Raw genomic sequence first — 26,616 nt, forward strand, 5'->3', positions numbered from 1 at the left:
GTTTTGTAAGGTGGGGGCAAAAAAACAGTAACAGGAAAGAAGCTGATCAGTTAACAACAGGCTACTTCAGGTGACTTCATTGTAAGGGCTGAAGCAGAGGGGCTTGCTTATCACACGGACTCCAGGACACTGGAATCTCTCATTTCCAGGAAAAACTGGTCTGTTTTGGAATCTATCTGCTTAAAGTTTCAGTTTGGTGATGTGGCATTTAGCACAAGTGACTGCATTGGGGTTTGGTCTGGTCTGTTGGGATCTGGGGCAGGAGCTCAGTCCAGAGCCAGGGCCACCTGGGATTGTGTTTTCACAACAGTGACTACACCCAATCCAAACAGCCCCAGTGCACAGGCCCCTTCCCTCCTTTTCTCCAGCCCTGGTGGGAGACGTCAGACTCTTTGCATTCCCGTGACATACATACTGTTAACGGAGAAATCATATTCTGTGGAATATCTTCAAGAGGCTTACCCTGAGCCAATATGAGTGACTGCGGGCCCAGGAAAACACAAACCCAAGAAGTCCGGAGTCAGTGGGCCTGAAGCAGTCGGATTACAGTTTGGTTTTATGCATTTTAGGGAGGCAGTGATTACAGGCAAAGACATAAATCATACTTGCCTGAAAAATCTACCTAAAATAATAAAACATGAAAAAAAGGGGGGGGGGAGATATAAATCAATCAGGGAAGTATACATTGGTCCAGCCCAAAAAGGTGGGATGTCTTGAAGTGGGAGGGAGGGCTTACAGGTTATAGGTGGCTTTAGAGATTCTTTAATTTGCAATTGGTGAAAGGAGGCAGGCTCTGTGTAAAACTTTGAGACAGCAGAAAGGAAAGTTTTCAGTTCAAGTAAGAATGCTATCTATGTAGCAAGATTGCTGGCCTGCAGGCTGACTTAACCCTGGCCTTGCATGGCCTTAGGTCTTGCTTATAATTTGGCATCTTATTGCCCCAAAGAGTCTGTTTTGGCTGGTGCAGTGGTTCACACCTGTAATTCTAGCATTTTGTGAGGCCAAGGCAGGAAGATTGCTTGAGTCCAGGAGTTTGAGACCAGCCTGGACAATATGGCAAAACCCCATCTCTACAAAAAATACAAAAATTAGCTGGGCATAGTGGCTCTCACCTGTGGTCCCAGCTACTTGGGAGGCTGAGGTGGGAGGATCACTTGAGCCCAGGAAGTTGAGGCTGCAATGAGCCATGATCATGCCACTGCACTCCAGCCTAGGGGACAGAGTGAGACCCTGTCTCAAAAAAAAAAAAAAAGTCTCTTCTGTCAGTTTTATGGTTTCTGTTTCAACATTAATGCTGGTCAGTTGTACCGAAACTCCAAAAGGGAGGGGGTATAAAGAGGTGTGTCTGCCCTCCCTTCTTATCATGGCTGATAATTTAGATTTTATGGGTTTTCTGGGGTCCCCTTGGCCAAGCAGATTCCGTTCAGTCAGTGGGGGGCTTAGGATTTTATTTTTAGTTTACAACACGTGAACTTTAATGAATTTTTACTGCCCAGGACATCCTCCCTAGCTTAGCAGGCACCGCAGTGGGCAGCTCCCCCATCCTTCTGCACAGCTGCTCTCCTGGAGGGAGCGGTTAATTTAAACATTCCCCTGTTGATGGACATTCAAGTTACTTCCCATTTGCTGTTAAAATAATGCTGCACTCACTCCTTCATTCCTGGAGTGTTTACCACTAAAGTCCTCTTCGAGATTGTAAAAATGAAACTGACTTGTCGAAGAAAAGATGCATTTTTTTTTTTTTTTAATGAAGAGCGCCTCTTGCCTCCGCCTCCCACCCACTGACCACTGTTTTGGGGCCCTGGCGTAGATGCCTGGACCGCAGGCCTATACGAACATCACACACCCTGCCTTTGGGAGCGGAGATGTTTTTTATTATTACATGTAAAGGCTTTGGAAGTGGCCATTCTCATCCTTCAACAAGAAAAAGCTGGACACACCAGCTTTTTTTCTTGACCCCTCTGAAAAATGAAGTCCCAGGGCAAACAACCTTCCAGAAACCTGGAGAGACAGACCATCCAGAGAAATTCAACAACCAAGGCCTGTGGTTGGGAGCAAAAGTCTCCAGATACCCAAAGCTGGTAGAAACACTGAAATTACAATGTTGACACATTGTTGCAGGCTGAAGAAGCTGGGGGATGGGCAGTAAAAGGCAGTAAGAAGCTGGGGGATGGGCAGTGTCAGAGGCTTTTCCTCCAGGAACCACTCCACATTTTCAGTGAGGATCAAACAAAGACCCTTCCTTCCACCCCTACCCCTGCAAGGGGAGGTGGGGGAACAGGGTCCTCTTTTTTTTTTTTTTTTTTTTGAGATGGAGTCTCGCTTTGTCGCCCAGGCTGGAGTGCAATGGCGTGATCTCGGCTCACTGCAAGCTCCACCTCCCGGGTTCACGCCATTCTACTGCCTCAGCCTCCCGAGTAGCTGGGACTACAGGCGCCCGCCACCACACCCAGCTAATTTTTGTATTTTTAGTAGAGATGGGCTTTCACCTTGTTAGCCAGGATGGTCTCGATCTCCTGACCTCGTGATCCACCTGCCTCGGCCTCCCAGAGTGCTGGGATTACAGGCGTGAGCCACTGCGCCCGGCCGAAGAGGATACTCCAAACTTCTCCTTAACAAAGTCTTCCCTGAGGGCTATTCTGAAACCTTTTCAAGCTAAAGGGTTTCTACCCCACTCCAGTCCTCTCCATCCTTCAGGTCTCAACTAAGGGAAAATAAAGCGATAGTCAACAAGGGAGAGGACTTCAAGAAAGCAAGCAGGAAACACTGGCCAGGGAAGGGACCAGGGCTATGAAGGATTAGCCCCACCCTGAGGCCGAGGCACAGAAACTAAAAGAATGAGGCCTGATTGGAGGTTAGAAGACAAGGGAGGCTGGGCGTAGTGGCTCACACCTGTAATCCCAGCACTTTGGGAGGCCGAGGCGGGCGGATCACGAGGTCAGGAGATCGAGACTATCCTGGCTAACACGGTGAAACCCCGTCTCTACTAAAAATACAAAAAGCCGGGCATTGTGGCGGGCACCTGTAGTCCCAGCTACTCAGGAGGCTGAGGCAGGAGAATGGCGTGAACCCAGGAGGCGGAGTTTGCAGTGAGCCGAGATGGCTCCACTGCACTCCAGCCTGGGCGATACAGCAAGACTCCATCTCAAAAAAAAAAAAAAGAAGACAAGGGAACACCCCTCTCCCCACTTGCCAGCACATGGTGCCACCACACTAACAAGGCGCCAGTAATAACAGTGGGTCACAGCTAACAGAGCTAAGAGACAAACTCTCTCTCTGAGGACCAGAATGAAAGGAAGCCACAGAGACAAGAAAGAAGAAAAAGTAAGCCCATTAGAATGATTTGAAGCAGCTGGTGGCCTAAAGCTATGACAAATATTACAACTCCTAGCCAGATTAATAAACCCTAACATTGAAAGCCTATTGACCTCAGTGCCTATGGCCCAATATGTACAACATGTCTGGCTTTAGACAAAAAAATTACAAAGCCTGTTAAAAGCAAGAAAAACCAAAGCCTAAAGAGACAAATCATTAGAAGCTGATTCATATATGACACAGATGTTGGAATTATTAGATGGAATATAAAATAACTATCATTAATATGGTACAAGCTTTAATGGAAAAAGTAGACAAGTTACAAGAACAGATGGGTAATGTAAGCTGACAGAATTCCAAGAAAAATAAAAAGGAAATGTTAGAAATCCAAAGCACTGTCTTAGGAATGAGTAATTACTTTGATGGGCTCATCAGTACCCATGACATGGGTGAGTAAGGGACCAGTGAGCTTTATTAAAAATGCCTTGAAATGAATGAAAATGAAAACACAACATACCAAAACCTGGGAGGCAGACAAAGCACTGTTAGGAGGGAAATTCATAGCCGTAATGCATACATTAAAAAAAGAAGAAATCTCAAATTAATAACCCAACTTTACACCCTAAGGAACTAGAAAAAGAAAACTAACCCAAAGCCAGCAGAGGAAAAAAAATAATAAGAATTAAAGTGGAGATAAATAAGATAGAGAATAGAAAAACAATAGAGAAAATCTTCAAAACCAAAAGTTGGTACTTTGAAAAGACTAAATTGACAAACCTTCAGCTAGATTGACTCAGAATAAAAGAAGACTCAAATCACTAAAATTAGAAATAGTGGAGACATTAACACCAATTTTACCAAAATAAAATGAATTATAGAAGAATGTTACAAACATTTATATGCCAACGAATTGGATAACTTGATGGAATGGACAGATTCTTAGAACGCACATCTATCAAAAGTGACTCATGAGCCAGGCGTGGTGGCTCATGCCTGTAATCCCAGCACTTTGGGAGACCGAGGCAGGCAGATCACTTGAGCCCAGGAGATTGAGACCAACCTGGGCGACATGGCGAAACCCCATCTCTACTAAAAACTACAAAAATTAGCCAGCCATGGTGGTGCGCACCTGTAATCCCAGCTGCTTGGGAGACTGAGGCAGGAGAATTGCTTGAACCCAGGAAGTGGAAGTTGCAGTGAGCTGAGATTGTGCCACTGCACTCCAGCCTGGGCAACAGAGTGAGACTCTGTCTCAAAAACAAAAACAAAAACAAAAACAAAAACAAAAACAAAAGAAAAGGAATAATGATAAAATCGAAAATCTGAATAAACGTATAATGAGTAAGGAGACTAGATCAGTAATCCAGTCTCCCAACAAAGAAAGCCCAGGGCAAGATGAGTTCACTGGTGAATTCCACCAAACCTTTAAAGATTTAGCAGCAATTCTTCTCAATCTCTCCAAAAAAAATTAAAGAGGAATACTTCCTAATTCATTTCATGAGACCAGAATTACCCTGATACCAAAGCCAGACAAAACCACTACAAGAAAACTACACACTAATATTCCTTAAGAATACGTAGATTCAGGCCAGGCATGGTGGCTCACGCTTGTAATCCCAGCATTTTGGGAGGCCGAGGTGGGCAGATCACGAGGACAAAAGTTCGAGACCAGTCTGACCAATATGGTGAAACCCTGTCTCTACTAAAAAAAATTAGCTGGGCATGGTGGTGGGCACCTGTAATCCCAGCTACTCAGGAGGCTGAGGCAGGAGACTCGCTTGAACCCAGGAGGCAGAGGTTGCAGTGAGCCGAGATCACGCCACTGCACTCCAACCTGAGCAAGAAAGTGAAACTCCGTATCAAAAAAAAAAAAAAAGAGTATGTAGATGCAAAAATCATCAACAAAATACCAGCAAAGCATACTCAGCAATATATTAAAAGGATTACACACCACGACCAAGTGAGTTTTATTCTTGAAGTGCAAGGATGATTCAACATCCAAAAATCAAACTATGTAATACATCACTCCAATAGGATGAAGGAGCAAAATCACATGATTATTTCAAAAGCAGAAAAACATTTGACAAAGTCTAACACCCTTTCATGATTAAAAAAAATAACGTACCAGGAATAGAAGTAAACTTCTTCACCATGATAAAAGGAATTTCTGAAAAATCCACAGCTAACATCACTCTCAACAGTGAAAGACTGAAAGCTATTCCCTAAGATAAGGCATAAAACAAGAATGCCCACATTCACTACTTACACTCGACATAGTATTGGAAGAGCCAGAGCAAAGAGGCAAAAGAAAGAAATACAATACATCTAAATCAGAAAGGAAGAAGTAAACCTATTTCTGTTCTCAGATGACATGATTTTATACGTAGAAAACCCTAAAGACTCCCCAAAAAACTATTAGAGCTAATAAATTAGTTTAATGGAATTGCAAGATACAAAATCAACACTCAAAAATCATTTGCATTTCTATACACTAGCAATGAATGATACAAAAAGGAAATTAACAAATACATTCCATTTATAATAGCGTTAAAAAGTACTTAGGAATAAATTTAACCAAACAGGTGAAATAATTGTACACTAAAAACTATAAAACATGGGCTGGGTGCGGTGGCTCATGCCTGTAATCCCAGCACTTTGGGAGGCCGAGGCGGGCGGATCACGAGGTCAGGAAATCGAGACCATCCTAGCTAACACAGTGAAACCCCGTCTCTACTAAAAATACAAAAAGTTAGCCGGGCGTTGTGGCGGGGGCCTGTAGTCCCAGCTACTCAGGAGGCTGAGGCAGGAGAATGGCCTGAATCTGGGAGGTGGAGCTTGCAATGAGCCGAGATGGCGCCACTGCACTCCAGCCTGGGCGACAGAGCGAGACTCCGTCTCAAAAACACAAAAGAAAACAGAACTATGAAACAGGCGAGGCGCGGTGGCTCACGCCTATAATCCCAGCACTTCCGGAGGCTGAGGCGGGCGGATCACCCGAAGCAGGAGTTTGAGACCAGCCTGACCAACATGGAGAAACCCGGTCTCTACTAAAAATACAAAAATTAGCTAGGCGTGGTGGTATGGGGCATGCCTATAATCCCAGCAATTTGGGAGGCTGAGACAAGAAAATCGTTTGAACCCGGGAGGCGGAGGTTGCAGCGAACTGAAATCACACCATTGAACTCCAGCCTGGGCAACAAGAGCGAAACTCCATCTCAAACAAACAAACAAACAAAAAACTATAAAGCATTGCTAAAAGAAATTTCTTTTTTTTTTTTTTTTTTTTTTTGAGATGGAGTCGCGCTCTGTCGCCCAGACTGGAGTGCAGTGGCGCCATCTCGGCTCACTGCAAGCTCCGCCTCCCGGGTTCACGCCATTCTCCTGCCTCAGCCTCCTGAGTAGCTGGGACTACAGGCGCCCGCCACCACGCCCGGCTAATTTTTTGTATTTTTAGTGGAGACCGGGTTTCCCCGTGTTAGCCAGGATGTTCTCCATCTCCTGACCTCGTGATCCGCCCGCCTGGGCCTCCCAAAGTGCCGGGATTACAGGCGTGAGCCACCGTGCCTGGCCTGCTAAAAGAAATTTAAGACATAAATAAGTGAAAGATATCCCACATTCATGTACTGGAAGACTAATATTGTTAAATAACAACGCTAACTAAAGTGATTGAATGCAATCCCCATAAAAGTCCCAATGGATTTTTTATCCAGAAATAGAAAAACTCATCCCAAAATTCATATGGAATCTCAAGGGATCCCAAATAGCCAAAATGACCACAAGTGTGGACAAAGCTGGAGGACTCACACTTGCGGATGTGAAAACTTACTATAAAGCTATGTAATCACAACAAGGTGCTATTAAGAGAAGCATTAGCCAGCTTCCAAGCGGGAATCTTCATAGTGTGAGTGATAAAGGAGAGAATTTAACAGGAGTAACGTAGTAAAAGGCAAGAAGATTTTGTTCACAAGGGTACCCAGTGCCACACTGTGGAAAAAAGAGGCAAGCACAGACTGGGCCAGAACTCCATGGGCTCTGGGCAGCAGCCAGGTCAGGCCATTGGATCCCCTTACACAGACGCCAACAGAACACAGCATCACCTGGGGAGAGGAGACACCGGTGGAGTATTTGAAGAATCCAGAGAATTACATCCTTGGAACAAAAACAGTCTTCACTGGCATTAACAAGAAGGTAGAAAGAACAGACTTGATAACTTATCTCAAAAAAGCCACTAATGAGTAATAATTGGCCACTGCCTTTATTTATTACAAAACAAAGGTCTCATAACTTCATGTGCACCAAAATTTAATTGATCTCATACACCAGAATTTAGATCATGAATGAGTGGCAGACCTTTTTTGTTGGACAGTCCTGATTTAAGTCACACTAGCTTGTGGTTAAATGAATATGACTGTTTTTTTGAACTTTGATAGTAATTTCAATTCAGTAAATGTTATCACTGTTTTCCCCTTCTGAAGATATGATTGGACTTCATTAGTAACGTTCAACTTTTCATAAAGGTGGTGAATGCCGTCTCAAAACATATTGGGGATTGGTTTTATATTTAGAGTTCTATAACTGTCTTTATGAATATATTTAAATACTGTCTCAGAACCAAGCAAGACTCACCTATGTTTTAATTTGTGTTCATTACCCTGTAAAAGGCAAGGGCTGAAGATAAGACAGCAATGTCTACTTTATATTTTTGGTCTTAACTATGCCAATCCAATTAGAATTCCCTGGATCTAAAATGCTGCCTTTTACTAATTGAAATGCATTTTATGTGTAATATCAAATAAAGAATAGTTAAAACACTTCTCAAATTTTATAGATGATCTATAAAGTCAGATGCTTCTGAAAATCAGTGTAACAAGAAATAGTAGTAAGGTAAAATTTACTTTTGAATTCTTTGCTATCTAAATCTGACTAAGTTATAATTTAGGATTGCCTTTAAATGATTCAAGCACGTAAAACTGTAGAAGTACTGTGTACGTGTGATTGGTAATGGTGCTTTTGTCAATGTATTAGAAGGATTAAAGTGGAGAAGATATACATTAATTTAGAAATTGTGTGTGATCATAAGACTTTGATAATTATAAACAAAATGACAGATTATAACAAAACCAGGGTGTTACTGGCATAAGGACAGACATAGTGGCCCTCAATTTATAGTCAGTTGATGTTTGACAAGGTTGCCAAAACCATTGAATGGGGAAAGGGCCATCTTTTCAACAAATGATGCTGGGAAAATTGGATATCTGCATGAAAAGTATGAAGTTGGACCCTTAATTTATGCCATATACAAAAATTAACTCAAAATGGAACTAAGACTTAAACATAAGAACCAAAACTATAAATATCTTAGAAGACAACAGAGAGGGAAATCTTTATGATGTTGGATTTTGCCATGATTTTTTGTATATGACACCAAAAATATAAGCAACAGTAAAACAAAACAGTTATTGAATTTCATCAAGATTAAAAACTTTTGTGCATCAAAGGACACTATCAAGAAGGTGAAAAGACAACCTAAAGGATGGGAAAAAATATTTGCACTTCACGAATCTCATAAGAAATTAATATTCAGGATATGTAAAGAATTACTGCAACTCAACAACAAAAAGACGAATAATTCAACTTTAAAAAATAGACAAAAGCCTTGAATAGACATTTCTTCAAAGGAGACACACAAATGCCAAATAAGCACATGAAAACATGCATATTTGCTTATCCCTGATTACTAGGGAAATGCAAATCAAAACCACAATGAGGGCCGGGCGCGGTGTCTCACGCCTGTAATCCCAGCACTTTGGGAGGCCGAGGTGGGCAGATCACAAGGTCAGGAGTTCGAGACCAGCCTGGCAAATATGGTGAAACTGTCTCTACTAAAAATACAAAAATTAGCCAGGCGTGGTGGTGCACGCCTGTAGTCCCAGCTACTCGGGAGGCTGAGGCAGAAGAATTGCTTGAACCCAGCAGGCGGAGGTTGCAGTGAGCAGAGATCATGCCATTGCACTCCAGCCTGGGCGACAGAGTGAGACTCCTTCTCAAAAAACAAACAAACAAAACCCACAATGAGGTACCACTTCACACCCAGTAGGATGACTGTTGGAATAAAAAATGGAAAATAATTGTTGGCAAGGATATGGGAAGATAGGAACGCTTGTTCATTCCTGTTGGGAAGGTAAAATGGTGCAGCCACTGTGGAAATCAGCTTAGCAGTTTCTCAAAAATGAAACATAGAAATTATCATAATCAGCCGGGCGCGGTGGCTCATGCCTGTAATCCTGTCACTTTGGGAGGCCGAGGCGATTGCCTGAGCTCAGGAGTTCGAGACCAGCCTGGGCAACATGGTGAAACCCTGTCTCTATTAAAATACAAAAAAAAAAAAAAAATTAGCGAGGTGTGGTGGCATGCGCCTATAGTCCCAGCTATTTGGGAGGCTGAGGCAGAATTGCTTGAACCTGGGAGGCGGAGGTTGCAGTGAGCCAAGATGGTGCCACTGCACTCTAGCCTGGTCAACAGAGCGAGACTCTGTCTCAAAAAAAAAAAAAAAAGAAAGAAATTACCATAATCTTGGACATAGAAAATACACAATACTATACCATAAACATAGAAAAAACCTCATCTATTCTATCCCTAAGTATATTCTTAAAAGAAATGAAAGTGGAGACTCAACAAAGATATTTATACTCCATTCTTCACTGCAGCATTAATCACAATAGATAAAAGGTGGAAACAACCCAAATGGTCTTCGACACAAAAAAGGGTAAATAAAATGTGATATAAGCACTCAATGGAATAAAAAAGAATGCAATTCTGATATATGCTAGAACATGGTTGAACCTTGAAGATGTTATGCTAGGCATTAAAGGACAAATGCATGATTCCATTTACATGAGGTACCTAGAATAGGCAACTTCATACAGACAGAAAGTAGAATAGTGGTTACCAGAGGCTAGTGGGGAGGGCAGAATAGAGTGACTTTTTAATGGGTATAGAGTTTCTGTTTGGGGTGATGAAAAAGTTCTGGAACTGGATAGTGGTGATAGTTTGACAATATTGCAATCACCCACAGGTTCATCTTGTCCACTGCCTGGAAAAGCTAATGCACTGAGAACAGCAAGGTTTTGCAGCAAAAATAAAATAAATAATTTAAAAAAGAGTTTAATTAACACAGGGCTAGCCAATTGGAAGATGGAGTTTATTACTCAAATCAACCTCCCTGAGAATTCAGAGGCTAGAGTTTTTATGGATAAATTGTCAGGCAGGGGGCTAGGGAATGGATGATGCTGACTGGGGATGAAGTCATAGGGATGTGGAAAATGGTCCTCATGTGCTAAGTCAACTTCTGGGTGGGGGCCACAGGACCTGTTGAGTCAGGAATCACGGGTCCAGGTGGAGTCAGTTGGTCACCAGAATGCAGAAGTCTGAAAAACAGTACCAAAGGCCAATCTTAGGCTCTACAATAATGATGTTATCTATAGGAGCAATTGGGAACATTATAAATCTTGTGACCTCCAGCACAGTAAATGACTATAGAAAGGCAAGTTATGCCTACATCTTAGCAGAATTCAGGCTGCTCTCATAATCTTAATCTTGTGGTCTCTTTCAATAGTCATAAAAAGGTGGTTTTAGATCCCTGAGCAAAGAGAAGGTTAGTTTTAGGGAGGGACTGTTATCATCCTTGCTTCAAAGTTAAACTATAAATTAAATTCTTCCTACGGTTAGCCTGGCCTACACCCAGAAATGAGTAAGGACAGCCAGCCTGTGAGGCTAGAAGCAAGATGGAGTCAGCCATGCTAGACTTCTTGTGCTCTCATAATCTTTGCAAATTCAGCTTCAATATTGTGAATGTACCTAATGCCACTCAATTGTACACATATAAGTGACTAAAATGGTAAATTTTATGTCATGTATATTACACCACAATAAAAAAGAAAGCAAAAAAAATCAGTGAGTATGAAGACAGAGAATTGAAACTTCCAAAATTGAAATGCGAAGAGAAAATTAACTGGGTAGGTGGGTGCAGGGAAGAGCAGAGAAGAATACAGCATCCAAACTGTGAGACAGATCAAAAAGTGTAACATATATGCAATTACCAGAAGGAGCAGAAAGAGAAAATGGGACTGTATTAGTCTATTCTCACATTGCTATAAAGAACTACCTAAGACTGGCCGGGCACGGTGGCTCACGCCTGTAATCCCAGCACTTTGGGAGGCTGAGGCGGGCAGATCACCAGGTCAGGAGATCAAGACCATCCTGGCTAACAAGGTGAAACCTCATCTCTACTAAAAATACAAAAATTAGCCAGGCGCGGTGGCGGGTGCCTGCAGTCCCAGCTACTCGGGAGGCTGAGGCAGGAGAATGGCATGAACCCGGGAGGCAGAGCTTGCAGTGAGCTGAGATCACGCCACTGCACTCCAGCCTGGGCAACAGAGGGAGACTCCGTCTCAAACAAACAAACAAAAGCTACCTAAGACTGGGTAATTTACAAGGAAAAGAGGTTTAATTGACTCACACTTCTACAGGGTTGGGAGGCTTCAGGAAACTTACAGCCACGGCAGAAGGCAAAGGGAAAGCAGGCACATCTTATATGGCAGCAGGAGAGAGAGAAAGAGGGAAGAGTGAAGAGCCACCCACTTATCAAACAAGCAGAATGTGAGAACTCTATTGACGGGAACAGCACGGGGGAAACTGCCCCCATGATCCAATCACCTCCCACCAGGCCCTCCCCTGTCATGTGGGGATTACAATTTGAGATGAGATTTGTGTGGGGCCACAAAGCCAAACTATATTAGGCATATAAAGAGTTTTGGGCTGGGTGGGGTCTCTCACGCCTGTAATCCCAGCACTTTGGGAGGCCGAGGCAGGCGGATCACAAAGTCAGGAGATCGAGACCATCCTAGCTAACACGTTGAAACCCCGTCTCTACTAAAAATACAAAAAATTAGCCGGGCATGGTGGCGGGCGCCTGTAGTCCCAGCTACTCGGGAGGCTGAGGCAGGAGAATGGCGTGAACCCAGGAGGCAGAGCTTGCAGTGAGGCGAGATCTCGCCACTGCACTCCAGCCTGGGCGACACAGCAAGACTCCATCTCCAAAAAAAAAAAAAAAAAAAGAGTTTTGAAGAAATAATGGCTGAGAACTTTCCAAAATTAATGATAGGCAAAAAACCACGGATCTAAGAACTTCAGAGAACATCAAACACCCCCCACCCACACACACACCCTGGACGTGTGTGTGGGATTCTGGATTCGGTAATATCCAAATTGCAGAAACCAAAGACAGAAAATTTTAAAGAAAGCCAGAAGTTATTGAGGGTGGACACTTTAACCACAAAAGATCAAGAATAAGAATTATAATAAACTTCTCATCAGAAACCATGAAAGAAATATTAAAATGAAGCTGGGCGCAGTGGCTCATGCCTGTAATCCCAATACTTTGGGAGGCTGAGGTGGGTAGATCACTTGAGGTCAGGAGTTTGAGACCAGCCTGGCCAACATGGTGAAACCCCATTTCCACTAAAAATACAAAAATTAGCCTGGTGTGGTGGCGTGCACCTGTCATCCCAGCTACTCAGGAGGGTGAGGCAGAAGAATTGCTTGAACCAGGGAGACGGATATTGCAGTGAGCTGAGATCATGCCACTGCACTCTGGTTTGGGTGACAGAATGAGATTCCATCTCAAAAAAAGAGAAATATTAAAATGAGTTATTTAGACAGAAGAAAAATAATATAAGGTCATATACTTGGATCTACATAAAGAAAGATGGAGCCCAAGAAAAGGAATAAATTAGGGTAAAATAAATAGTTTTATTTTTATTATTCTTTACTGATCTAAAAGATAATTGTCTGCTTAAAACAACAATAGTAACAATGTGTTGGTTTATAGCCCATGGATAAGTGACACGAATAACTGTAATGTCATCAGGCACAGGAGGGAAGAATTGGACAACCCTGCTGTAAAGTAGCTGCAATCCACAGATAATGTGGTTTGAAGGTGGTCGTAGACAATTTTAAAATGTATGTTGTCAATCCTAGGGAAACCACTAAAAAACATTTTTAAGGAGTGTTAATGATGTGTTAAGATAGAGCTAAAATGTAATCATATAAGATACTTAAAACCAGAGAAGGCAGAAAAGAGAAGGAAAGGCTACAAAGAGCAAATGCAATGAATATATATACTTAACAAAATGGTAGATTTACTCCAACTATATCAACAATTACTTTAAATGTGAACACCCGATAAAAGAAAGTCATATGTGATTGGATTTTTTTAAATGTAAAAGACCCATCTACATGCTGTCTATAAGAAACACACATGAAATATCCTGACACAGACATGTGAAAAGTAAAAGTACAGCGAAAGATATACAATGCTAACACTAAGCAAGAGAAAATGGAGTAGCTATATTAATTTCAGACAAAGTTGACTTCTTTTATTTTTGAGACAGAGTCTCAGTCTGTCGCCCAGCCTGGAGTGCAGTGGTGCGATCTCAGCTCACTACAACCTCCTCCTTGCGGGTTCAAGCAATTCTCCTGCCTCAGCCTCCCGAGTACCTGGGACTACAGGCATGCACCACTATGCCTGGCTAATTTTTGTATTTTTAGTAGAGACAAAGTTTCACCATGTTGGCCAGGCTGGTCTTGAACTCCTGACCTCAGGTGATCCACCCACCTAGGGCTCCCAAGTGCTGGGATTATTGGCATGAGCCAATGCGCCCAGCCTAAAGCTGACTTTAGAACAAGGAAGATTATGAAAGATAAAAAGGACCATTAGATAATTATAAAATAGTAGGGCATCAAAATATGTCAGGTAAAAACTGATAAAACTGAAAAGAGAATTAGGTAAACCCACTATTATAATCGAAGCCTTCAACAGTCCTTTGTCAATAATTGATAGATCAAACAGGCAGCAAATAAGTAAGAATATAGATAATCTGAACAACACTGTCAATCAACTTGGTCTAATTGAGTTTATAACATACTCCAGTCAACAGTGGCAGAATACATGTTTTTCTCAAGCACACATGGAGCATTCACAAAAACAGACCCACACCTGGACCATGAAATACACATTAAAAATTGAAAATAATAATAATCATGCAAAGTATGTTCCTGTGGGGGCACAAACTAACAATTCTGAACTCACTGTACTTGCATACTGGGATTGAATTTTGGATTAACTAGTAAAGGGATGGTGGTATGGCAGATGCGGGAGCCAGGTTTCTCACTGCTGAAGGTGGAGGTCGCAGATAAACAAGAAGGGAAGGCTACAGTGAAACATTTGGCCATGGATTAGAATCAGAGACAGCAGAATGAACTCATGTTTAGCTTAATGTACTGATGGGTAAATGTGGAAGTAGTTATAGGTATATGTGTATATTTGGGTCAGTGTACATACATCTATTTCCTAGCTCAGTCTACTAAAACAGCCTAGAAGCAGTGACACCCTGTAGCAATAAGCACACCCAGCCTCCAGATCTCTTGTAAAAGGAATAAGGGTCTTTGGAGATATGGCTGATTGTAGAATATATGAGATGAGCCTGGAGCATATGGTAATGCCAGGAATTAAGAAAGTGCTAAACACACACACACAATAATGAGAGTATGTTAAAGGGACACAGGCGCCGACTGAAAGAGCGTCCAATGGCCAAATGAATGGCTGGAGCGATTTAAGCAGCAACAGAAAATAATGTGATATTGAGTTATGCCCAAAGGGTGTCTGGGCTGTACTTGGTTACTTTCTTCTAGAGTACAGTGAGGAAAGGGGATAAAAAGTAGTTTTACCATAGATAAACCTGGCAAAGATGACCTCAGCTGGGCGAACAGGGCCAACATTAACAGTGATTGAGTCATGTTGAGCTATCCTTGATATGATGTGGGGAGAATGGTACCTCACCTCTATGGTCTTCCTCCCAAAACCTGTAAGCCCAGTCTAACTACAAGAAAAAAACTATAAGAAAAATGTCAAACCAACCCAAATTGAGGGGCATTCTATAAAATGTCTAGCCAGTACTTCTCGAAACTGTCAAACTCATCAAAACATCATTTTAGGCTGAGAAAATGTCACAGCCCAAAAGAGAATAAGGAGATATGACCACTAAATGGAATGTGGTCATTTGGATAAGATCTTGAAACAGAAAAGGGACATTAAGGAAAAACTAAGGAAATGTGAACAAAGTATGGAGTTGAGTTACTAATAATGATGTATCAATACTGGTGAATTAGTCATGACAAATGTACCATAGTAGTATGAGATGTTAATAGCAAGAGAAATGCCTGAGGAGTGTGGGCAAACTCTGTGCTATACTCTTAAGCTCTTTTGGAAACTTTTCTATAAATCTAAAACTTCTAAAGTAAAAAAAGTATTTATACATATATGTGTGTGTGTGTGTGTGTGTGTGTGTGTGTGTGTGTGTGTGTGTATATATATATATATATATATATATATTTTTTTTTTTTTTTTTTTTTTTGAGACAAAGTCTTGCTCTGTCGCCCAGGCTGGAGTGCAGTGGCACGATCTTGGCTCACTGCAACCTCCGCCTCCCAGGTTCAAGCTATTTTCCTGCCTCAGCCTCCTGAGTACAGGCGCCCACCACCACACACGGCTAATTTTTTGTATTTTTAGTAGAGATGGGGTTTCACCATGTTAGCCAGGATGGTCTCGATCTCCTGACCTCGTGATCCGCCCGCCTCAGCCTTCCAAAATGTTGGGATTACAGGCATGAGACACTGCGCCTGGCCTATATATGTATTTTTAAGTCAGCACTGGTGCCACCCCCACCCACCCACCCAAAAATGACAACCAAGAACAGCTTTGCGACACTGCTCACCTCTCCTTATGGCTCCGTACGTCTCACCGGTGCTCCAGGCAGGTTGGGCGTGATCCCTGTGGCTGGTGTGGGCAGCTGCTGGGAAGCACAGGCAGGAGCTCAGCCGAATGTGTCAGCACAGCCTCCTCCTCCATCGCCATCTGTCCAGTTAGGTCAGTCAAGAAGGCCCCAGTTTTCCACAATGACAGTCAGCTCAAGGTTGGCGTTCACCCTGAGTGCTAAGGGAGATTGTTTTCTTTTTGGCTTGATTACACTTCTCTGAAACAAATGGTTCACTTCTCATGGCTTCAGTGTGCTTGTTGGCCAAACTCCAGTGGCTGTGCTAGTTCACTCCAGCTGCCATAACAACATACTACAGACTGGGAGGCTTAAACAACAGAAATGTATTTCTCACAGCTCTGGAGGCTGCAGGTTCACAATGAAGGTGCCGGCAGAGTCGGTTCCCCCGAGGTCTCCCTCTGTGGCTTGCAGATGGTCACCTTCTCGTGGCCTTTCTTCTGTGCACACACAGCCTGTGGTCCTGTGTCTTTCTGAATGCCCAAACATTGTCTTCTTTTCAGGACCCCAGTCACACTGAATGGAGGGCTCACCCTGAAGGCCTCGATGTAACTGAGTCACCTCTCTAAAGGCCCTACCTCCAAACACAGCCCCATTCTGAGGTACTGAGGCTAGGGCTTCAACATGTGAGTTGGGGGACATACAATTCCAATCATAATGGTGGCATTTACAGCTAGTGAGCAGGTCGCTGTGTGGTCCCTGTGCTTGTTGGCTGGTGGCATTCACATGCCACCCTTGATTGGCCAGGCAGGCAAGGGGCCACCTGGGCTGCTGCGGCCAGCGCACTCCTCACATCTTCAGTGAACAGCGACCTTGGGAAGAAACAGAGCCCAGATCTTCTTTTAAAATAATCGACAATACTGTCTTATTCACGGGAGTTATTGAACAGACATAGAGGGCTCTTAGGACTGAAGACTATTGTATTAGTCCATTCTTGCACTTCTATAAGGAAATACCTGAGACTGGGTAATTTATAAAGAAGAGGGCCTGGGCCAGGCACAGTGGCTCACGCCTGTAATCCCAGCACTTTGGGAGGCCGAGGCGGGCAGATCATCTGAGATCAGGAGTTTGAGACCCGCCTGGCCAACATGGTGAAACCCCGTCTCTACAAAAATACAAAAATTAGCTAGGTGCAGTGGTGGGCACCTGTAGTCCCAGCTACTTGGGAGGCTGAGGCAGGAGAACCACTTGAACCCGGGAGGCGAAGGTTGCAGTGAGCCGAGATCGCGCCACTGCGCTCCAGCCTAGGTGACGGAGGGAGACTCTGTCCCAGAAAGAAAGAAAGGAAGGAAGAAAGGAAGGAAGGAAGTAAGGAAGGAAGGAAGGAAGGAAGGAAGGAAGGAAGGAAGGAAGGAAGGAAGGGAAGGAAGGAGAAAGAAGGAAGGAAGGAAAGAAGGAAAGAAAGAAAAGAAAAGAAAAGAAAAGAAAAGAGACTATTGGCTCAGGGTTGTGCAGGCTGTACAGGAAGCATGACCCCTTCTGTTTCTGGGGACGCCTTAGGGAGCTTCAATCATGGCAGAAGGCAAAGGGGGAGCAGGAGCAGCACATGGCTGGAGCAGCAAGAGTGTGGGCGAAGGTGCTGCACACTTTTAAACAACCACAGATCTCGTGAGAACTGTATCATGAGAATAGCATCAATGTGGATGGTACTGAACCATTCATGAGAAATCACCCCTGTGATCAAATCACCTCCTACCAGGCCCCACCTCCAACACTGGGGATTACAATTAGACATGAGGTTTGGTCAGGAACACAGACCCAAACCATGTCAGCTATCCACAAAGGTTGCCTTTTCTACTAGTCTAAGAAGTCAGCGACTCAGGCAGGGTGCTGCCCTGAGCTCCCGTCTACACTGCCTCCCAGGTGCAGGCCACTGTTGAGCACTAAGCACCTGCTGACTGCACTGCCCTCCACTGCACTGGATTCACAGCGGCCTCTCCATCTTCAACCCCGGCCCATTTGTTTTGAAAATCTATATAGTCCCCTGAACATTTTTAAACAGCAGCCCCAACTTCCTTTTATCTCAAGAATGTCTAAATGGTTGTAAAGGATATACTCACCCGTGTATCCTAAAAATTAATATTTTAAAACAAAAAGTGAATATCATGCTTCTAAATTTATTCAACAGAATCGAAGCACCATAGCACTTTGGTGGCCATTGTCCGATTCTAAAAAGCAAGCAAACAAGCACTTGTTTCCTTTTTCATTGTTTCTTTTTCTTCCTCCACTTCCTTGACAAGACTCTATTATAAAGTCATATCTTCTAATTGCTCTCCGTCTCACAGGCATTCTCAGGCAGTTTTAGAGTAGAGACCCATGGAGACTGACCGCCTGGGCCCACCCCGGGGAGGTGTGCATTGGTTGGTACTGGTCAGCATCCGGCAGGTGGCTGCAAGCCCAGGCGACAGAAAAGTCTGGTCAGGACTCCCCGCGGTGAGGTTAAGGCAAAGAACCAGAAGAAAAGGCACCGTGGTGCGGGGAGGCGGTGTGCCAGGCGCGGTGGCTTGCACCTGTAATGCCAGCACTTTGGGAGGCCGAGGTGGGTAGATCACGAGGTCAGGAGATCGAGACCATCCCGGCCAACATGGTGAAACTCTGCCTCTCCTAAAAATACAAAAATTTAGCCGGGCATGGTGGCGCGTGCCCGTAATCCCAGCTACTCAGGAGGCTGAGGCAGGAAAATCACTTGAACCCAGTAGGCAGAGGCTGCAGTGAGCCAAGATCGCGCCACTGCACTCCAGTCTGGGTGACAGAGGGAGACTCTGTCCCAAAATAAATAAATAAACAAACAAACAAACATTAAAAAAATAAAAGAAAAAGAAAAGGCACGGTGGGGGGCACTAGTTTCAGGCAGAAATAAACTTGGAGAGGAGGGCAGAGAAGGACTGGCACAGGGGTGGTGCTCCTGCCATGGGCAGAAGACAGCATCATGGGAGAGGACGGGAAGAGCCAGCCTCAGGATGCTGGTAGAAAACGGACAGAAGGAAGCCTAGTTCTAAACGGCATCTTGTCTGGGGCACCCCGTGGCTGTGTTCGCATGTGTGTTTCTGTGCTCACGGAGAATGAAGATAGAGATGGTGCTGCGCTTTTACAGTGAATATCTGGTAACTGGGGAGAAAAACCTGAAGGTATATTTCCCAAGAAGCAAGAGTATTTAAGCAATTTAAATTTAGAAGGAGGAAATGATAACAAGAACACGAGGTGATGGTCAGTGGGTTAATTACAATATAGGCGCTGAGCAAATTCAATTTCTGGAGGCAAACAGTTGCTGCCTTGGAGGGAGCTGACAAATATTCTATAGCAAACAGTGACAAATAAATTTCATGTAACAATCATGCAGGGTTTCATGGATACAAGTTAGAGGCCATGGAACCTGAGTATACATGTAATAATAATCGTTATTACCAGGGACTTCCCCATCCTTCCAGCAAGACATCCGGCCTGTATATCAACTTTACGATGGCAGGATGGGAAAAACATTAAAATTGATGTCAAATAGGTCCTTCACCCCACGAATTAATACTTGTACATTTCTTAAAATAGTGCCTAACTTATAATAAATACTGTATAAGAGTTTGTTAAATAAGACACAATTATACGATAAAATATTTAAAGGATAAACTTTTTATCCCTGTGCCTTTATAGCAACTAATCAATATTCCCCACCCTGTACTTATTAAAGAGGGCTGGTGATTTGGGCTGAATTGTGTTCCCCCAAAATCATAGGTGGAAGCCCTAACTCCCAATGTGACTGTATTTGGGTTGTTTTGTTTTGTTTTGTTTTTGAGACAGAGTCTCGCTCTGTCACCCAGACTGGAGAGCAGTGGCCCGATCTCGGCTCACTGCAAGCTCTGCCTCCTGGGTTCACGCCATTCTCCTGCCTTAGCCTCCCAAGTAGCTGGGACTATAGGCGCCCACCACCATGCCCAGCTAATTTTTTTGTATTTTTTTAGTACAGACGGGGTTTCACCGTGTTAGCCAGGATGGTCTCGATCTCCTGACCTCATAATCTGCTCCCCTTGGCCTCCCAAAGTGCTCAGATTACAGGCATGAGCCACTGTGCCCGGTCTGTTTATAGCTGTTTGTATATAGCCGTTCATAGCTGGTCACTTTTTTTTTTTTTTTTAAGACAAGGTCTCACCTTGTCACCCACACTGGAGTGCAGTGGTATAATCACAGCTCATTGCAGCCTCGACTTCCTGGGCTCAGCTGATTCTCCCACCTCAGCCTCCCAAGTAGCTGGGACCACAGGTGCACACCACCATGCCTGGGTAATTTTTGTATTTTTTGTAGCGATGGGGTTTTGCCATATTGCCCAAGCTGGTCTCAAACTCCTGGGCTCAAGTGATCCACCCACCTCAACCTCCCAAGCTGGTCACATTCTGTGACACATGATTATTATGTATTATTGTGTGTACATACCTATGAGCTCCCTGGGAGAAAGGTAAGTGTCCTAAAACTCCTGGCATATTGCATCAGGCTGAGATGCTGCCCAAGAAATGGATGCTGGATGTCTGCACAGGTGGATGGATAGGTGGATGGATGGATGGATGAGTGGATGTATGGATGGATAGATGGGTAGGTGGGTAAATGGATGGATAGATGGATGGGTGAATGGATGGATGAGTGAGTGGATGGATGAATGAATGGGTGGATGAGTGGGTGGGTGGATGGATGGATGGATGGATAGTATTAGAGAAATCTAACTTGAGTTCCTTGGGTATGCCCATCAGAAGCACAACTAGAGGATCCCAGCCCAATCCTCAAGGGGAATCCCTGGCACTTTGCTCATACATCTTTTTCTCCCATCAATAAGATGGAACAGGTTTTTCTGGCCTTCTGGAAGCCCTAAGCCATTGTAAGGGGCCTCCCTCAATTCCTGCCATCCTCAGGCTTGAGTAACGACAGCAGTGACTCAGGGTCAGGGTGACAGGGAGAGGGTATAGGAAGTAAATCATCTCATAAGTTACTGTCTACACTTGCACACAGATCCCTAGGTTTCTCTGAGGACAGCATAAACTTCATTAATAAAGGCTGATCATCCACACCCACTGCTACGATCCAGGGATGAATGATCAAGTATCAAACAATATGGAAAGGGGCTGGTGCTGAGGGAGGGAAGAGAGCTCCTAAGGGTTCCAGGAACTTCCCGGCCAGAAGCACAAGTGCAAAAGACCTCAAGGCTCATTGGACAGAGCAGGCCCTTGGAGCCTGGAGCAGGGCCTGCCTTCTCTGACTCTGACTTTCTTTACACACTGAGCTTGGCCTGAAAGCAGAGAAGATGAGAAGAAAAGGGTGAGAAGAATAAGGAGCTGTGTTTTATGGAAACTCTCATCTAGGAATAACTACCACTCCCTCTTTTACTGAGCATCACGTGCCTGGCCCAGAGCATGCACTTGCTGTCTCTTAGCAACTGCCTTGCAAGGTAGCTGTTCTTAGCTCCATTTTGGGCTCAGAGATTGTGGAACATAGCTCACTGACATGCTCCAACATCTGACTCTTCCTCCAGCCAAGGAACATGCCAGCTGGTCACCCGGCCACAGTGGATGCTTCAGCCCCAGCCTGATACCACAGGAATTAGGTGGAGGCCTGGATCCACCTCTGCCTGTACTTAGGTAACAGGGAAGAAAAAGTCCTCACATGAGTCCATGGTCAACCTCTGGGAGCACTGAGGAGGCAAGCCTGCGGTGTGTCTTCCCTGGTGCCTCACACTGGTTCCTCTGCGTCCCTCCGGCTCCCGTGCGTGCATTCTCCCATACGTGCAGTCTCTCTGACATGCTGAGTCCTCACAGCTTCCCCTCAGGCTCAAAGTGGTAGAGTGTCAGGCTTCATAAATGCTCAGCGCCACTGCCCAGGGTGGCACATGCCACTCAGGAGGCAGGTGACACTTGTCCCCTCATGGTGAATGGCCAGCAAACAGCACACTGAGAGGGAAGCTGGACAACAAGCTCTGACCACCAATCAAGACAAGAGTTGTTCCTGGGGAATTCCCAAGACACAGAATTGGCAGCGAATGCCTGTTTACTGCCACTTGGACTCCTTAACAGTCACCTCTGGCCATGTGGAACTTGTTTACTAAGTGGGCTTACCAGGTAAAAGCAAGCAAGCCCTGCAGTGGAGGAGGTGCTCATCACCCAACTGTCACGTGGACCTCAGGAGGGCCTGCTGACTCCGGGGCTGCTCAGAGAGGATGTTATGTTCCTCAAAAGTACGGGTCATGTGTGGGAGCCTGTCTCAGCCAGACACAGCAGTCAGCAGGCCTGTGGCCAGGCCACAGGAACCCCTGCACCTGCCCCATGCTCTCCTGGGCTGCTGCACAGGCAGCTAATATTTTAATAATAGTTTTATTGAGATATAATTTACATGTCATACAATTCACCCCTTTTTAAAAATTAGCATCCTCTTGAATACCAAAAAAATCACCCTTTTAAAGTGGATAATTTAATGGCTTTAGTCTAGCCACAGAATTGAGCATCCCTCCCAGTTAGTTCTTTTATGTAATTTTAGAACATTTTCATCCCCTCTAAAAAAAACAAAAACAAAAACAAAACACCCATACTCCCCATTCTTTCTTCCCCCAGCCTCTAGCAACCACTAATCTATTTTCTGCCTCTATAGATTTGCCTATTCTGAGCATTTCATACAAATGGAATTATACAATAGATACTCTTTTGTGACCATCTTCCTTCAGCGAGTGTAATATTTTCAAGATTCACCTATGTTGCATGTGTCGCTAATTCATTATGTTTTATGGCTGGATAATATTCTACTTTATAGACATGTCACACTTTATTTATCCATTCATAAACTGATGGACATTTGAGTTGTTTCCACTTTTTGACTATTATGTATCATGCTGCTATGAATATTCATGTATAAGTTTTTGTGCGAACATATGCTTTCATTTCTCTTGGCTTTATACATATAAGTGGAATCACTAGGCCAAATGGTAACTCTTTAATATTTTCAGGAACTGCTGAAGTGTTTTCTAAAACAGCCACAGCATTGTACTTTTCCACCAGCAGTGTACGAAGTTTCCAATTTCTTTAAATCCTCTCAAACACTTATGCTGGCCATGCTGGTGGGTGTGAAATGCTATCTCATTGGGATTTTGATTTGTATTTCCCTAATGACTATGGTGTTGTGCGTATTGACCACTTGAAGAAATGCTTATTCAAACCTTTGCCTGGTTTTTCACTGAGAATTTTGTCTTCTTACTGCTGAATTTTAAGAGTTTTTAAAAATATGTGTTGGTTACTAGACTCTCATCAGATACATATTTTGCAAATATTTTTCTCATTTTGTGGGTTATCTTTTCACTTTATTGATGGTGTTCTTTGATGAACAAAAACTTTCGATTTGATGACATTCAGTGTATCTGTTTTTTTCTTTTGTTGCCTATGCTTTGGGTGCCATATATAAGAAACCATTGCTTAACCCAAGTTCATGAAGATTTACTCCTATATTTTCTAAGAGTTTGATAGTTTTAGGTCTCGCATTGATGTCTATGATCCATTTAGAGGGAATTTTTGTATATGGTCTGAGGTAGGGTATGACATTATTCTTTTGCTTGTGGACATCCATTGTCCCAGCACCATTTATTGAAAAGAATATTCTTTCCTTCATTGAATTGTCTTTGCCCACTTGTCAAAAATTACTTTACCATAATTGTGAAGGTTTCTATTTGAACCTTTGGTTCCATTTGATTCCATTTATCTTGTGTCTCTCCCTATACCATTAACACACTATCTTGATTACTACAGCTTTGTAGTAGGTTTGTAATAGGGAGGTATGAATTTTCTTTCAAAATTGTTTTGGCTATTCTGGGTCCCTAACTTTCCACATGAACTTCATGTTCAACTTGTCAATTTCTTCGAAAAAGCTAGCAGAGATTTTGATAGGGATTGTGATGAATCTATAGATCAGTTTGGAGAGTATTTCCATCTTAACAACATTAAGTGTTCCAATTCACGAACATAAGATGTCCTTCCATTTATTTCTCTTTAATTTCTTCCAACCATGTTTTAGAGTTGTCAGTGTACAAGTGTTGCACTTCTTTTATTAATTTATCTTTAAATATTTTCTTCTTTTTGATGCTGGGCAGTACATTTTTAAGGAAAAGAAGTAGTAGACACTGGGACTGAAGGCTGTAAGGAAGCACTTCACTCCATTGCCAAGCTGCTCTCCTCTTCCAGGTGATGGACAGAGAACAGGGCTTTGCACATTGTCAGATACTCTCCACTGGAGCCATTTAGAGGGTGTCAAATAATATGTTATTATGGTTTCACTTGGCATTTCTCTGTGACTAATGAGGCAAAGCATCTTTTTAGGTACTTCCTGCCCATCCACACTTCCTCATCTGTGAAATGCTTTTTCATGTCTTTGATCCATTTTTTTAATATTCTTATTGATTTTTGTAAATTCTTTATGCATTCTGGATACTAATTTACTATTTTCTTCCTATCTATGGGTTTTCTTTTTGTTTTTGTTTGTTTGTTTTGTTTTGTTTTGAGACAGTCTCGCTCTGTCACCAGGCTGGAGTGCAGTGGCACGATCTTGGCTCACTGCAACCTCTGACTCCCTGGTTCAGGTGATTCTCCTGCCTCAGCCTCCCAAGTAGCTGGGATTACAGGCATGCATCACTATGCCCAGCTAATTTTTTTTTTTTTTTTTTTTTTGAGACGGAGTCTCGCTCTGTAGCCCAGGCTGGAGTGCAGTGGCGCGATCTCGGCTCACCGGAAGGTCTACCTCCTAGGTTCATGCCATTCTCCTGCCTCAGCCTCCCAAGTAGCTGGGAATACAGGCGCCCGCCACCACGCCCGGCTAATTTTTTGTATTTTCAGTAGAGATGGGGTTTCACAGTGGTAGCTAGGATGGTCTCGATCTCCTGACCTCATGATCCACCCACCTCTGCCTCCCAAAGTGCTGGGATTACAAGCATGAGCCACCACGTCCGGCCCGCCCAGCTAATTTTTGTATTTTTAGTAGACACAGGGTGTTGGCCAGGATGGTCTCGATCTCCTGACCTCGTGATTCGCCCACCTCAGCCTCTCAAAGTGCTGGGATTACAGGCGTGAGCCACTGCGTCCGGCCATCTTTTTGTTTTTTCATCAATATTTTTGTATATGATTTGTGCTTTTGTGTCTTGCTAATGAAATCCTTACTCACTGCAAATTTATAAATATAGCCTCCTACCATTTCTTCCGGCAGTTTCAAATGTGGTTTGTTACACTTAGGTCTTTAACCCACATGCAATTTATTTTTGTTCATGATTTAAAGCAAAGATCCAACTCTACTTGATTTTCTAAATGGATAACCAATTGTTCCAGAAAATTGATTTACCGGCCCATACTTTCCCCATGGATCTGCAAGCTCTGTCACAAACCAAGTCTCACTATGTGGGAGGGGCTGCTACTGGGATTTGGTTCCTTGGTCAGTTTTTTCCCTGTGCCAGTACATTCTGCCTTAATTATGACATCTTGAATATCTGTTGGGCAATGCTTACCATCTTGTTCTTTATTTTTATAATGGTCATAGCTCATCACTCTTCCATATAAATTATAGAATCAGTTTGACAAGTCTCCCCCTAAAAGCTGCTCAGATTTTAGTAGAATTGCAGGAAAGTGCATGAATTTGAAGATAATTGACATTTTTTCACATATATTGCTCCATTTATATAAACTTTCTTTAATGGCTTTCTTTTCAGTTTTGCCATTTTCTCTATGAAGGACTGCATCCATTTTACTTTTTATTCATAGAAACCTTATGTATTTCATTGCTATTATAAGTGAAATTTTGAAAATACATATTCTAAGTTTTTCTTGCTAGGGCATTTTCATTTTAGGAGGGCTCAAACCCCACAGTGTGGAAGAGAACCACTGGCTTGTGTGGTCTGGCAGCTCTGCCTCCCACTGCACTGGGAGCCCCACGGTCAGGCTATCCTCAACCCAGCAACTCCCTGTCCTTGCCTGCTTAGCAGCCAGGGGCCATCTCAGAACAGCCTGACTGCTGGCTCATCTGACTGTGGCTGGTTACACTTCCTGTTGGGTCATTGATTCAGTGTGAGGACAACAGCTCCAAGAGGCCTCTGGGTGCTATAAACTGACCAGGAGGTGAATGGCAGGGTTTCCTGACAGCAGGAGAGATTCGGGAAAGACAGTGTGGTCAGAGCCACCCAGGAGTAACCTACAGGCCAAGGGACAGAGCAAGTGTGCCATGGGGCCAAGTGTCTATGACAGCATGCCCTCCTTCCTTCTCTGAGCAGGGGGCTAGGGTCACCAAATCAGCTGCCCAGGACTGAGAAGTTTATCCAGATGAAGGACTTACAGGGCTAAAATTGGGAAATCCCAGGCAAACTGGGACCTGCTGATAACCCCACAACAAACATGAGCTGAACAAGATGAGTCCACAG

At 43.6% G+C, this 26,616-nt stretch overlaps 1 long non-coding RNA gene and 1 pseudogene across 1 annotated transcript, besides 1 other annotated feature; one reads left to right on the forward strand and one right to left on the reverse strand.

The window, feature by feature from the left end:
* CYCSP8 (CYCS pseudogene 8) lies at nt 7,189–7,754 on the forward strand (annotated as a pseudogene).
* Nucleotides 7,755–10,502: 2,748 nt separating this feature from the next.
* LOC124907891 (uncharacterized) lies at nt 10,503–16,305 on the reverse strand. The gene is made up of 2 exons (XR_007087240.1): nt 16,149–16,305; nt 10,503–10,742 (listed from the first exon to the last, which is right to left on the reverse strand). It is a non-coding gene; the product is annotated as an uncharacterized LOC124907891 (long non-coding RNA).
* Nucleotides 16,244–16,744: an enhancer, noted in NCBI's record as "H3K27ac hESC enhancer chr2:131543220-131543720 (GRCh37/hg19 assembly coordinates)". NCBI's record gives its function as "activates a minimal SCP1, AML or CMV promoter by ChIP-STARR-seq in naive H9 embryonic stem cells {active_cell/tissue: H9 hESC(naive)}" and the evidence as "EXISTENCE:reporter gene assay evidence [ECO:0000049][PMID:30033119]".

The sequence above is a fragment of the Homo sapiens genome, chromosome 2, assembly GCF_000001405.40.
Source record: "Homo sapiens chromosome 2, GRCh38.p14 Primary Assembly".
In the NCBI taxonomy this organism is placed as follows: domain Eukaryota; kingdom Metazoa; phylum Chordata; class Mammalia; order Primates; family Hominidae; genus Homo; species Homo sapiens.